This window comes from Homo sapiens, chromosome 6, assembly GCF_000001405.40.
Source record: "Homo sapiens chromosome 6, GRCh38.p14 Primary Assembly".
Lineage (NCBI taxonomy): Eukaryota > Metazoa > Chordata > Mammalia > Primates > Hominidae > Homo > Homo sapiens.
Window position 1 is genome coordinate 32,853,785 of NC_000006.12, and position 12,836 is coordinate 32,866,620.

The 12,836-nt window shown below is 43.1% G+C and overlaps 1 protein-coding gene across 1 annotated transcript; it reads left to right on the plus strand.

Moving 5' to 3' along the window:
* PSMB9 (proteasome 20S subunit beta 9) lies at positions 408-6,067 on the plus strand. Its single transcript, NM_002800.5, has 6 exons — positions 408-505; positions 2,354-2,421; positions 3,479-3,610; positions 4,221-4,350; positions 4,580-4,721; positions 5,621-6,067. The coding sequence occupies exons 1-6, from the start codon at positions 446-448 to the stop codon at positions 5,746-5,748; spliced, it is 660 nt and encodes a 219-aa protein (NP_002791.1). The 5' UTR covers positions 408-445; the 3' UTR covers positions 5,749-6,067.
* The last annotated feature ends 6,769 nt before the right edge of the window (positions 6,068-12,836 follow it).

Consider the following 12,836-nt stretch of genomic DNA (forward strand, 5'->3'; position numbering starts at 1 on the left):
GCTGATCCTGCGCTGGCGAGAAGCTCAGCCATTTAGGGGAAAGCGAAATCGAAAGCGGCCGCCTGCTCACTAGATAACGCCTACTTCCAAAAGTGGCCTGCCCAGACTATTTTGGTAGCAAGCGTGGAAATCAGATCTGAGAATCTCGGGAGCAGCCCTGGTGCCCAATTTTCTCCATCACGCACACCCTTCTCGCCTCTCCCTGCCTCCTGCCTTTCCACTTGCACCAGTTTTCCCACCCCAGCCTCAGGGCGGGGCTGCCTCGTCACTTGTCTCGGGGCAGATCTGCCCTACACACGTTAGCGCCGCGCGCAAAGCAGCCCCGCAGCACCCAGGCGCCTCCTGGCGGCGCCGCGAAGGGGCGGGGCTGTCGGCTGCGCGTTGTGCGCTGTCCCAGGTTGGAAACCAGTGCCCCAGGCGGCGAGGAGAGCGGTGCCTTGCAGGGATGCTGCGGGCGGGAGCACCAACCGGGGACTTACCCCGGGCGGGAGAAGTCCACACCGGGGTAATGGGTCTGGGCTTGAGGGTTGGCAGAGGGGTGGAGGAGATGCAGCGGCCAGGGGACCCTGGAAGCGCGCGCGGAGAAGTGAATGCAGAGACCAACGGGAGCGCAGGGAGGTCGCCTGTAGCAGCCAGCGCTTGCAACCCGCAATGAGCATAGAGTATTTCTTTTCTGAGGGGGGTCGTCTAGAGTGTCCGTGAAGGGAACAGGCACGCGAGGCTGGTGGAAAAAGCGGGTGCTTTGACTCTTAGCTGGAAGCGTCAACGGGAAGCTACTCTAAAGCGCTTTCGCTTTCACTCTGGTCCCGGACAGTGGGGGCTGGTTAAATCAAGAAAGGGGGTTGGGGATGGTGCAAAGAGATGAGGAAATGGTGCCCTGGGTGAAGTAGAACAGCACTTGGGAGAAGGAAATATAGGCACTTATTGAGAAGGACCAACTCATCACACAGACTTTTGATAAACTTGCCACTGGGCAACTCTTAGCCCAAGCACTGATAATGGGCGTTCTGTGTTAACTAGTGATGCCCTTCCCTAGCTTGACCCAGGAAGGCCTCTCCTTGGCCCAGATGCTGCCTTACTCCCTTCCCTGTGTCTTCCCTGCCCACTCCCATGTGCCCACTGGGGGGACTTTGCTTAGGATGGGCGCCTGGGGCAGATGGCAGCCCCAAGACTGGCTGGCTGGCTTCTGCTCTGGACTACTGCCACCACTCGTGGCTTGGGGGCGGCTTTGTTAGAGAGGAATAGCCTCTAACTTGAAGTTAACCCTGTTCTTTGACCCTCTATTCATGATAAGTCGGTCCGTCGGAAAGCATACTCAGAGGAGCGTCCTTTGGGGCCAGAGTAACTTACGGCCTGGTAAGAAAGACACAGTGAAACCACTTATAATTTGGGAAATCTCCCCTCACTGCCAAATGAGCAGTGGCAAGTAGGAAGTAGAAGTGGAAACAAGGGATAAGAGTTAGACCTGAATTTTAGTCCCAGGTCTACTATTAACTCTGTGTGACTTTGCATAAGTCGTTTGCATTTTCTGTGACTTGGTTTCCTCATTTGAACCGAGGATCTTTAAGGCTCCTTCCAACTCAATAGTAGAATAAATGTAGCTTTATCTTCCCTCACTTCTTCTTGATTCTTTTCTTGACCTGGAAAAGTCAGCTTAAACTTCTCAGTCAAATTATCTCTTGGTACAAATTTACCTCCCTGGCTGCTGAGATATGTATTTACCTCTTGATCGGAAATTCCATAACTGAAACTTTTATTTTCAACCATCTGTATGTGTTCCTTGCTGCTTCTCTCCTGCCTTGCCCCTGGCCATGCTAACCACTGCCCTCCTCGATTTTTTCCAATGTTCAGTAAATTGGAAGAGCTCACTTCTGATGAAATGGGGGGTGAGAGTGGAGGATTGTGGACCAAAAAAAAAAAAATAGACTGACCTTGTTTCCCAAGATCATAGTCAATTACTCTGTGTTGGGTCTACACCACATCTGCACATACTATGAGCCCTTCCGTTGGAGATAATTTTCACTTGCGGAGCTGCTTCACTTCTACCTGTAGGAGCCTCATCTCCACCTCTCTACAGTGGAGAGGATTCCACTAGGCAAGTTGGAACTTAGGGACACAGTTCTTTCTGTGTTGTATCACAGCTGGGCTGTGGCATTCCCCTGCAGCCGGATGAAGCAATAGAGAAAGTGGAAAGATGAAGGGAAAAAAAGCCTGTACTGACAGTCAGCTCTGGCCTGTTACTGTGTAATCTTTGAGCCAGTCACTTCGCCTCTCTGGGAATGTTTCTTCTTCTCTAACATGAGGGCATCAAGGCTGTTCTTGCCCTGACATTCCATATTCTGTGTCTCTGCAGACCACCATCATGGCAGTGGAGTTTGACGGGGGCGTTGTGATGGGTTCTGATTCCCGAGTGTCTGCAGGGTGAGTAAAAGTGAAGATGTATGCATTTGGAAAGAAGCTAATGGCCTCAAATACACACTTTCCTTACCCATTCATGAAAAGACTGGCAAACTGGAGCCTTGGAGGAATGGAGTTGACCTTCCCCAAAAGCCACTATGATAAGCTATTTGGTGGGTGCTTGGGTCTCTGAATTTGTGGAGGAGGATCTGGGGTCTGAATGTGTATGTGACCTGTCCCAGTAGTGTACAGGGATGAGTAAAGGAATAGGGTCTGAGAGGGGGACAGGAGATAGATTTTTGAGGGTCTTCTTTCCATCTGTGCTTAGGGATCAAAAAGATGATTCTGTCAAGCAGATACCTGGTTTCTCATTTACCATATATTGAACTATTTTGTCTCTTCTCCCACTCCTAACCAATTTCCTCACATGCAAAATGAGTATATGGGGTTAGGTCAATATTACTGACATTATGTTCCATAGAACATAACTCTCTCAAGATTGTTAATAGCAAAGAAAATTGATGAGGCATATTTTTCTTACCTTAGCATTTTTTGCTTTGTTATAAAATCTAAGCCTGAAAAATAAGCCTAATTTTGATTAACATCTGCAGTGATTAATAATATCTGAGATGATTATTTGCCTCCTGCTTTAATCCAAGCATTAAACTTCATGCTATTCTCTTGTCAAAGAAATTTGAGAGACATTGAATGATCACCCTCAAAAATTCCTGAGTTCTGGTTGGGTGCAGTGGCTCACATCTATAATCTCAGCACTTTGGGATGCCGAGGTGGGCAGATATTTGAGGTCAGGAGTTTGAGACCAGCCTGGCCAACATGTTGGGACCTTGTCTCTACTGAAAATACAAACATTAGCTGGGCTTGGTGGTGGGTGCCTGTAATCCCAGCTATTCGGGAGGCTGAGGCAGGAGAATCACTTGAACCAGGGAGGCGAAGTTTGCAGTGAGCCCAAGATTGATCCACTGCACTCCAGCCTGGGTGACAGAGTGAGACTGTCTCAAAAAAAAAAAAAAAAAAAAAAACCTGAGTTTTAACTTGGTGACTGTTGACTCCCTCCTGACAGCGAGGCGGTGGTGAACCGAGTGTTTGACAAGCTGTCCCCGCTGCACGAGCGCATCTACTGTGCACTCTCTGGTTCAGCTGCTGATGCCCAAGCCGTGGCCGACATGGCCGCCTACCAGCTGGAGCTCCATGGGTATGAAGCTCTGGAGTTCTGACTCCCCACCCACTAGAGCTCCCCCAACCTGCATGAATCCCTGTACAGTGTGCTGTTCCAGGAGCTGGACACTGGGAAATGGAAAAGTCTTGTTTCGGCTCTTGCTGGCACTTGAATCTGTCAGTTTCTGCATCTGTAAAGTGGAGATAATATAGTACCTCATGAGACGGTTATTTTGAGAACCACATTCTATATGTGAACACAGTTTAAAAGCTGTAAATCACTATCCTGATATAAATAATCAGGAAGAAGGTGATATTGTGACCCACCATAATATCAGGCAGTTACCATACGAGAAATCAAGGTCGTTGGGACGGAAGTAACCTTATCTGCTTTTCCCCATAAGAGCAGGGTCCTTGCAGCCAAAAGAAAGTTATGTGGGTGGGGCTGAGCAAAAGAGTGAGCAATTGAAAGCTTCTTACCAGTTGGTGGTGTGGGACTCTGGTTCCCCTGTACATGTGGGAGGGAGGCTGCAGTTTGAGCTATTGCAGTTACAGTTTTCAGGGGTCGTTTAGCAGGGATGATGGTAACAGTATAGGAGAATGAGACTTAAAATTCTATCAACCTTTATTCCTAATATTTCCCTCAGGATAGAACTGGAGGAACCTCCACTTGTTTTGGCTGCTGCAAATGTGGTGAGAAATATCAGCTATAAATATCGAGAGGACTTGTCTGCACATCTCATGGTAGCTGGCTGGGACCAACGTGAAGGAGGTCAGGTGAGTTTCTCCCAAAGCACTCTCTCCTCTGGGCTTCCCCACTCTCCTGCAGAGGAAGATGGAAGTCCTATGTCATTCTAGCAATGAGTTCCAAGGACACTACCTCTGAAAGCATAGTACTTTGGGGATATGAGATACCAGGGCTTCATTGCAGGGTGCAGAGACCACTTAATGTCTCAGTGGGAAGGAAGGGCTTGATGATTCTTTAACCTGAGGATCCCTTTCCCAGGTATATGGAACCCTGGGAGGAATGCTGACTCGACAGCCTTTTGCCATTGGTGGCTCCGGCAGCACCTTTATCTATGGTTATGTGGATGCAGCATATAAGCCAGGCATGTCTCCCGAGGAGTGCAGGCGCTTCACCACAGACGGTAACCAGCCAAGTGGAAGGGTACCTGGGGAGGGCTTTGAAACATGGGAAGGAAGTAGATTATGAGGAACAGGAAGAGAAATACAGGGGTGGCCATTTAAGTTAATGCCGGGCCTGGTACACTTTTAAGAGTGAAAAGGGGCAGGACAAATGCAAAGCTCAATGGGGTTCTTGGGCAATACGGATAAACCAGGGCTGTTCTGAGTAAATCAAATGAGGATACACAGTCACTGTGAGAACCAGTGGTGTGCTAAGCACAGTGGCTCACACCTGTAATGCCAACAATTTGGGAGGCTGAGGCAGGAGGATTACTTGAGCCCAGGAGTTTGAGGCCAGCCTAGGCAAGATGGTGAAACCCTGTCTCCACAAAAAACAATAAAAAAAAGTAAAAAAAAAAATGAACTGGGCATAGTGGTGCACACCTGTAGTCCCAGCTACTCAGGAGGCTGAGGTGGAAAGATCATCTGAGCCGGGGAGATCAAGGCTGTAGTGAGCGGTGATTGCACCACTGCGCTGCAGCCTAGGTGACAGAGAGAGACCCTGTCTGGAGAAAAAAAAAAAAAAAAAGAACCAGTGGTGTGCTGAGGTGTGCTGAGGCTGGCTTGGGACCACTCATGAGAGCGGACTGTTAAATAGTCAAGGATTTGTGAACTGCTTAGCTATTTGTAACTTGCAATTCATCATAGCGGGAGCATTTACACCACGGACATCAGCAGATGCCACATATGGAAGCCTTTTTGTAAAAAAACTGATTTACCAGCACACCACTAAATATGCCTTCCTGGAAGATGAGTTTTGAGGTGAAAGTGGTAGTAGGCATATGGATGGAGGGGGAGTAAAAAGATTTTTGAAGCTAAGCCATCCTCTCTCTCCCTCTCTCCAACTTGAAACCCTCTGCAGCTATTGCTCTGGCCATGAGCCGGGATGGCTCAAGCGGGGGTGTCATCTACCTGGTCACTATTACAGCTGCCGGTGTGGACCATCGAGTCATCTTGGGCAATGAACTGCCAAAATTCTATGATGAGTGAACCTTCCCCAGACTTCTCTTTCTTATTTTGTAATAAACTCTCTAGGGCCAAAACCTGGTATGGTCATTGGGAAATGAGTGCTCAGGGAGATGGAGCTTAGGGGAGGTGGGTGCTTCCCTCCTAGATGTCAGCATACACTCTTTCTTCTTTTGTCCCAGGTCTAAAACATCTTTCCTAGAGAAAACAAAAGGGACTAAACTAGAAATATAAAGAGCCCTATACATGACAGGTGATCACGTACTGAATGATTTTGAAGTAGTACAAACAATAAAAATTCTCATTCCGCATCATCATGCGGTCCATGATGATGAGGCCGCAAGTGAGGTGATGGGACTCTTTCCTTTAAGGCTAAGACTGACAGATAGGCAAGACACCTACACACATGAGAATTAGCTAAGACTATCAGCAAACTCGCATGTAAAAGAATTCCTTTCATAATGCATTCATTCATATTAAAGGGCAATACATGAAAAATGCTTAAATATTTTGGGGCACTTGTGAATTTCAAAGAATAATGACAATAACCAAAAGAAGCTACATTTGTGGCATTGGCTAAATGTTTTATAAATTTTATCTCTTAAAATTCAAACCAAAAAACCCCCTGTATTCACACCTGTAATCCCAGCACTTTGGGAGGTCAAGGCGGGAGGATTGCTTGAGCCCAGGAGTTAGTGACCAGCCTGGGCAACATAGTGAGAACCCCATCTCTACAAAAAAATTTAAAAATTAGTCGGGTGCGGTGGTGCATGCCTGTAGTCCCAGCTGCCTGGGAGGCTGAGTGGGAGGATCGCTTAGGCCTGGGAGTTTGAGGCTACAGTGAGCTGTGATTGCGCCACTGCACTCTAGCGTGGGTGACAGAGAAAGACCCTATCTTAAGAAAAAAAAAAGAAAAGAAAAAGAAAAAACAAACAAAAAAAACACCCAACCCTATATAGGTATTATTATTACTTCTATAGGACACATAGAGGTTTGGAAAGATTAAATCACTTGACCAAGGTCACAAAATAAGTTCTGAGGCTGGGATCTGGGATTCAGTCTTATTATATGCCCTTCCTCTACCACTCCCTAAAACTTCTCATTCCCTCAATCCCCATATATCATCTTAAAATCTGCAATAAATAGCCCCATACATTCGTTGGCACTTAGGAAACTGTTACCAGATGGCTGAGTAACTGTATTAAAACAAATTTAATTCTGCTTCTATCTTTGCCTTGCACTTCCTGAGTGACAGGAGTGAACTCTCATATCCTTTTCTGTCAAAAGATGGTGCTGAATGATTTCTAAGGTAGTTTACAGTTCCAACATTCAATGCCATTTTGCTAACAAGTGGGCAGTCAACAGGCATATTCAACAGAAATACTAGTAGGATCTCAGGCTAAACATACGAATTCAAAACTCTAAAACAATCACATCCCCCTGGAGTGTAAAGAAAAAAATCTAAAATTACAAATGCCTGGAGTTGTTTCTAGCCATGATATTTAACTTATTTGAGATTTTAAATAGCCCATTTTTCCCACTGATCACAAGTAGAAATTCTGGGCAGTATACAAAAAGCAAGTACTCAAGGACTCCAAAAAGTAAACAAAAGCAGGTGGATTGTGAAGAGGGTCAAAACTGGGAGAGGGGCCCCTCCTGGGGAGTGGGTTTTCAATGTTTTCCCCTTTTTTCCTCCCAGCTCTGCCCTGACGTCAGGCCTCAGGTGCAGAGCTGCACTGCGTGGTAGCACAAGCCCTGAGTTAACAAGAGAAATACCGGCTTTCTGGCCAGAGGAATGAAGAAAAAGGGCCCCTGCGGGCAGGAATGTGTAGGGGAATCTCCAAACTGAGAGTACAGGCGGAAATTCCCTAATTCTGAGTCTGAACCCTCAGGAGTACCAGGTTACCCCTGAGCTGCACATGCGTGTGACATGCCTTAAGGGCACAGCAAAGACTTTGAGAACTGAATGAAGATTAGATCTTTTAAAATTGGAAGACTTCGGCCAGGCGCGGTGGCTCGTGCCTGTAATTCCAGAACTTTGGGAGGCCAAGGCGGGTGGTTCACCTGAGGTCAGGAGTTCGTGACCAGTCTGGCCAACATGGTGAAACCTCATCTCTACTTAAAATACAAAAATTAGCTGGGCATGGTGCCTGTAATCCCAGCTACTCGGGAGGCTGAGGCAGGGAGAATCGCTTGAACCCGGGAGGCAAAGGTGGCAGTGAGCCAAGATTGCGCCATTGCACTCCACCTGGACGACAAGAGAGAAATTCCATCTCAAAAAAAAAAAAAAAAAAAAAAATTAGAAGACTTCATTTTTCTGTATTGGCCAAATAACTGTTCTAATGCCCTTCATTCCAATAAAAGGTTTGTAGCAGCTTACAGAGATAATTTAAAACAATTTTTAAAAGAAGAAAACAACACTGGGTCAGAGAGAAAATATGGTTAAGAAAAGTAAGTGAAGCCAAGGAGTGAAACTAATGGAAACTAATGGACAACGTGAATATCTTAAAAAAAAAAAAAAGTGGTGCGCTGTCTTATACTGGCTAGCAAGAGCAGATTGCAAAGTATTCAGGATTTTTGAAGACAGTTGTTAACTATTGGTAACTTGATATTGACCACTATGGAAGTATTTATACTATAGAAATCAGCAATGCTACAAGTCAGAAGCATTGTTTTTCTTCAGAGAGCCGGTTTAACAGGACACATATTTATCAGCCAACTATAAATGGATAAAAAATAATTGGCTCCAGGCCATAGGATAGTGAAAGCAAAGAAGGAAATAAAATGAGGTACAAGATTCATAAAATTCATTTTTTAAAAGTTGCCAGAAAACCAAAAATTATATATAATAGTTCAAGCCACACAGAACATTTACTCAAATAGGACATGCATCATTCCATAAAGGTAACGCCAATAAATTCCAGAGTATCGGTATCTTAGAAACTATCTATATTCTAGGCCAGGAGCAGTGGCTCATGCCTGTAATCCCAACATTTTGGGAGGTCAAGGTGGGCAGATCCCTAGAGCCCAGGAGTTTGAGACCAGCCTGGGCAACATGGCAAAACCCCGTCTCTACAAAAAATTTAGCTGGATGGGGTGCACCTGTAATCCCAACTAGTCAGAAGGCTAGACGGGAGGATCGCTTGAACCCAGGAGGCAGAGGTTGCAGTGAGCTGAGATTGTGCCACTGCCCTCCAGCCTGGGCAACAGAGTAAGACACTGTCTTAAAAAAAAAAAAAAAAAAAAAGAAAAAGAAAGAAAGAAACTATATTCTGCAACCATACTGTAATAAAATTAGAACTTGATAACTAAAATATACTTAAAATTGTAAGTGAACAAATATATTTATCAGTAACATGGATTTAAAAGGCAGTCGTGGATGGGAGCATCGCTGGAGTCCAGAAGATGGAGGCTGCAGTGAGGCATGATTGCGTCACTGCACTCCAGCCTCAGCAATAGAGTGGGACCCTGTGTCAAATAAATAAACAGCAGTTATAAAGAAAATTAACTCTTTTAGAACCAGGTGTTAAAAATGTTACACATAAAATATACATATAAAATAATATTATAATTTCAAATACATTTATTAGAACAAGAAAAGTTAAAATAAAGGACCTAGAAATTCTACTCAAAAATTTGGAAAAAGAGAAGTTGAGCAAACCTAAAGAAATACGAAGAAAAGGAGTTATAAAGATAAGAATAGAAAGCAATGAAACAGAAATAGAGAACAAAAAACTAGGTAGTGAAAATTAACATACTTTTGATTCCAAAAGCTGCTTACTTAAAAATATTTGTAAGATATTCAGAGTTACAACAAGGCCGATTATGGATAAAGGGAGAAAAAATGAATAAACAAATACATAATGAAAAAGGGGGAACAGCTACAGATATGACACAGATATAAAGCATAGAGTGTTATGAACAAGTATATGCTAATAAATTTGAAAACCTAGGTGAGATAAGCAAATTCCTAGAAACATTTAATCTATCAAAATTAGCACAAAAAGAAATACAAAACTTGACTATACCAATGAGTATTAAAGCAATTTTTAAAGTTATCAATGGCATCTAATAAAAAAATATATTTTTGAAAATGCCCAGATGGTTTCACAGATGAGTTCTATCAAACATTCAAGGAACATGAAACTTCTATATTATATACTTTTTCCAGAAAACAGAAAAAAACTAAACCTGATTAGCTAATTTTATCAGCCGAGTGTAATCTTGACTCCAAATTGAGTTGTGGAAAACTCAAGGAAAAAAAAATAATAGACCCATTTCACCTTGAACACAGATGGGAGAAAAAAATAATTATTTATGAACCGAATTCAACAATATTACAAATAATAATACTGGGAGGCCGAGGTGGGAGGATCGCCTGAGGCCAGGAGTTCAAGACCAGCATTGTCAACATACTGAGATCCTGTGAGATCCTGTCTCTACAAAAAATTAAAAAATTAGCCAGGTGTGATGGTGAGCACCTGTAGTCTCAGCTACTAGGGAGGCTGAGGCAGGAAGATCATTTGAGCCCAGGAGTTTGAGGCTGCAGTAAGCTATGATTGCACCACTGCATTTCGGCCTGTGCAACAGAGCAAGGCCCTGTCTCTAAAAATATGTATAATAATAACAATAATAATAATGATTATGCTAATAATGATACATCAAGATCAAATAGGGAATCCTTGGAATACTAGGGTGGTTCAATATAATAAAACATATTGTTGCTATAATTTACCATATTCATAGAAAAGTCATTTCCTTTGCTCAGTCTATTAATAAAAGACATTTGGTAAAGTATATCCATTTGTGATTTTTGAAAAACAGTTAAGGAAGCAGGAATCAAAACTTTCCTATTTTGGCAAAGGTTATAATCCAAAAAATCTGTAACCACTAGTATACATAACGGAAAAACCTTGGGTATCCAAGACAAGAATGTTCACTATAATTACTAGCTTATCATAGCACTAAAGCCTATGGGCAACATAACAAGACCCCATTTACCAAAAATAAATTTAAAACATTTTAATTAGCTGGCATGGTGGCATGCACCTGTAGTCCTACCTACTTGGGAGGCCAAGGCAGGAAGATTGCTTGAGCCCAGGAGTTTGAGCTTACTGTGAGCTGTGATCACACCACTGCACTCCAGCCTGGGTGACAAAGGAAGACCGTATTTCTAAAAAATAAAAAATACAAATACAACTACAAACTAGCACTAGACCAACAGTGACTATGTACCATGAACTGAGGAATATTATTAATTCCACCATTTGCATCTGAGGTTAACAATATGTCAATGACTTAAATAACATCATATCTCTGAGAGTAATTTCTCCTATATTTCCATGACAAATGTTAGATAATTTTCCATTTTTTCCATTCAATAAAATAAACAGGAAATATAATTAAAGAGTTCAATTGAGGATTGGGATTTAGAAAGGAAGGCAGGAATTAAGAATAATCCTTAGTTCTCTTCCTAATTTGCACCTCTCTCACTGATACACATGTATTATTTTCTTTTTATGTCTTTTAGAATCTAATAAACATGTTTTATATTATATAACAAACTAGAATATATGGATTATCTTTGGTCTTCCTTACCAAGTTCTTAACTCTGCTGGCTCTGGGGCACTGGACATACCATGTAAGAAGAAAAATGTTTTAACTCCATTGAACTTATTCAGAAGCATCGGAAATTGGTTCAGCAATATTCAACTTTGCCCAGCAATGTTTATGAAAGTTTCATATATAGTATAGTATAAGTATGTGTAATACAGAATTTATGTTCTCAAAAATGAAGAGATAAAGTATGGAGATTCTAAACTCTGTTGACATAGAAGAGGGTGGATTTCTCGAAGAAACAGCCTTCTATAGAAAGTGGCTTGTATGAGTCGGGATTCTCCAGAGAAGCAGAACCAATAGGATGTTGGCAGAGAGAGATTTATTTTAAGTAATTGGCTCATACTACTGTGGGAGCTGGCACGGTCGAAATCTGCAGGTAGGCTGGAGACCCAGGAAGAGCTGATGTTGCGGCTTGAGTCTGAAGGTGGTCCAGAGGCAGAATTCCCTCTTCCTTGGAGGACCTCAGTCTTTGCCCCTAAGACCTTCAACTGATTGGAAGGGCCACTTACATTATGGAGGGTAATCTGCTTTACCCAAAATCTATTGATTTAAATGTAAATCTCATCTAAAAAATACCTTCACTGCAATATCTAGACTGGTATTCAAATGTCTAGAAACCATAGCCTAGCCAAGTTAACACATAAAATTAACTATCACTTGGCTCAAGGTGAAACTTCCAGATCAATGTGGCAGGAGTGTTGAGGAAGGAAGTGAACTCGGTTCTAACCAAGTAGGACAGCCGAATCATCACTGAAGTGTGGCACTGGCCTTTCGCCAAGGTAACATGTGGCAAGGTTTTAGGTTAGGATAGGTACCAGGCAAAAGCTGGGTGACTCGATGGAGGCTTTTGTGCCAACCTTCAGAGACTGGCTGCGTCAGACTGCCCTCAAGAGCATACAAAGGAAAAAAAGACAAATTAAAAGCCTTTAATCCAAACTCAAGACATGAATGAAAAACTGTAAATGCCTCTATAGCAGTTTTAAAGGCTATCTTTTCTCCTGCAACCCAGCACAGATATGGCTGAGGGTCAAGCCCGGGGGCTTATGATAAAGGTTATGAAGTTGTAGAAATGTTTGTTGCATCATCCAACAGCAGCTGTTGTGATAAGGCAAGACCCCTGGTTGGGATAGACCGGACCCTGAGATATGAAATAGGGACATATGAGCAGACACAGAGAAGTCTGAGTGAGAACTATGAATCACCGCACCCCCTGAGGGTCCTTGCTGGAAGAAGCAGACTCACCGTATTAGTTACCTATTGCCATGTAATGAATGACACCCGCTTAAAATAACAGACATTTACTATAAGGTGTTACTGGGACAATAGGGGATTTTTTAATATGGATTGTGTGTTTGATAATATGGTATCAATTTTAAGTATCTTGGGGGTGATGACAGTATTAGGGTTTTGCAGGAGAAATGTCCTTATTCTTAAATTATACATGACAAAATATTTAGGGGTCAAGTGGCATAATTTCCACAGATTACTCTCAA

What these genes read in the sequence shown, in the direction of transcription:
- PSMB9 (NM_002800.5), top strand. Translation starts at nt 446, where the DNA reads ATGCTGCGGGCGGGAGCACCAACCGGGGACTTACCCCGGGCGGGAGAA. An exon ending in GATTCCCGAGTGTCTGCAGG is followed by an intron (nt 2,422 to 3,478) that starts GTGAGTAAAAGT and finishes CCCTCCTGACAG; the next exon opens with CGAGGCGGTGGTGAACCGAG. An exon ending in CAGGCGCTTCACCACAGACG is followed by an intron (nt 4,722 to 5,620) that starts GTAACCAGCCAA and finishes AACCCTCTGCAG; the next exon opens with CTATTGCTCTGGCCATGAGC.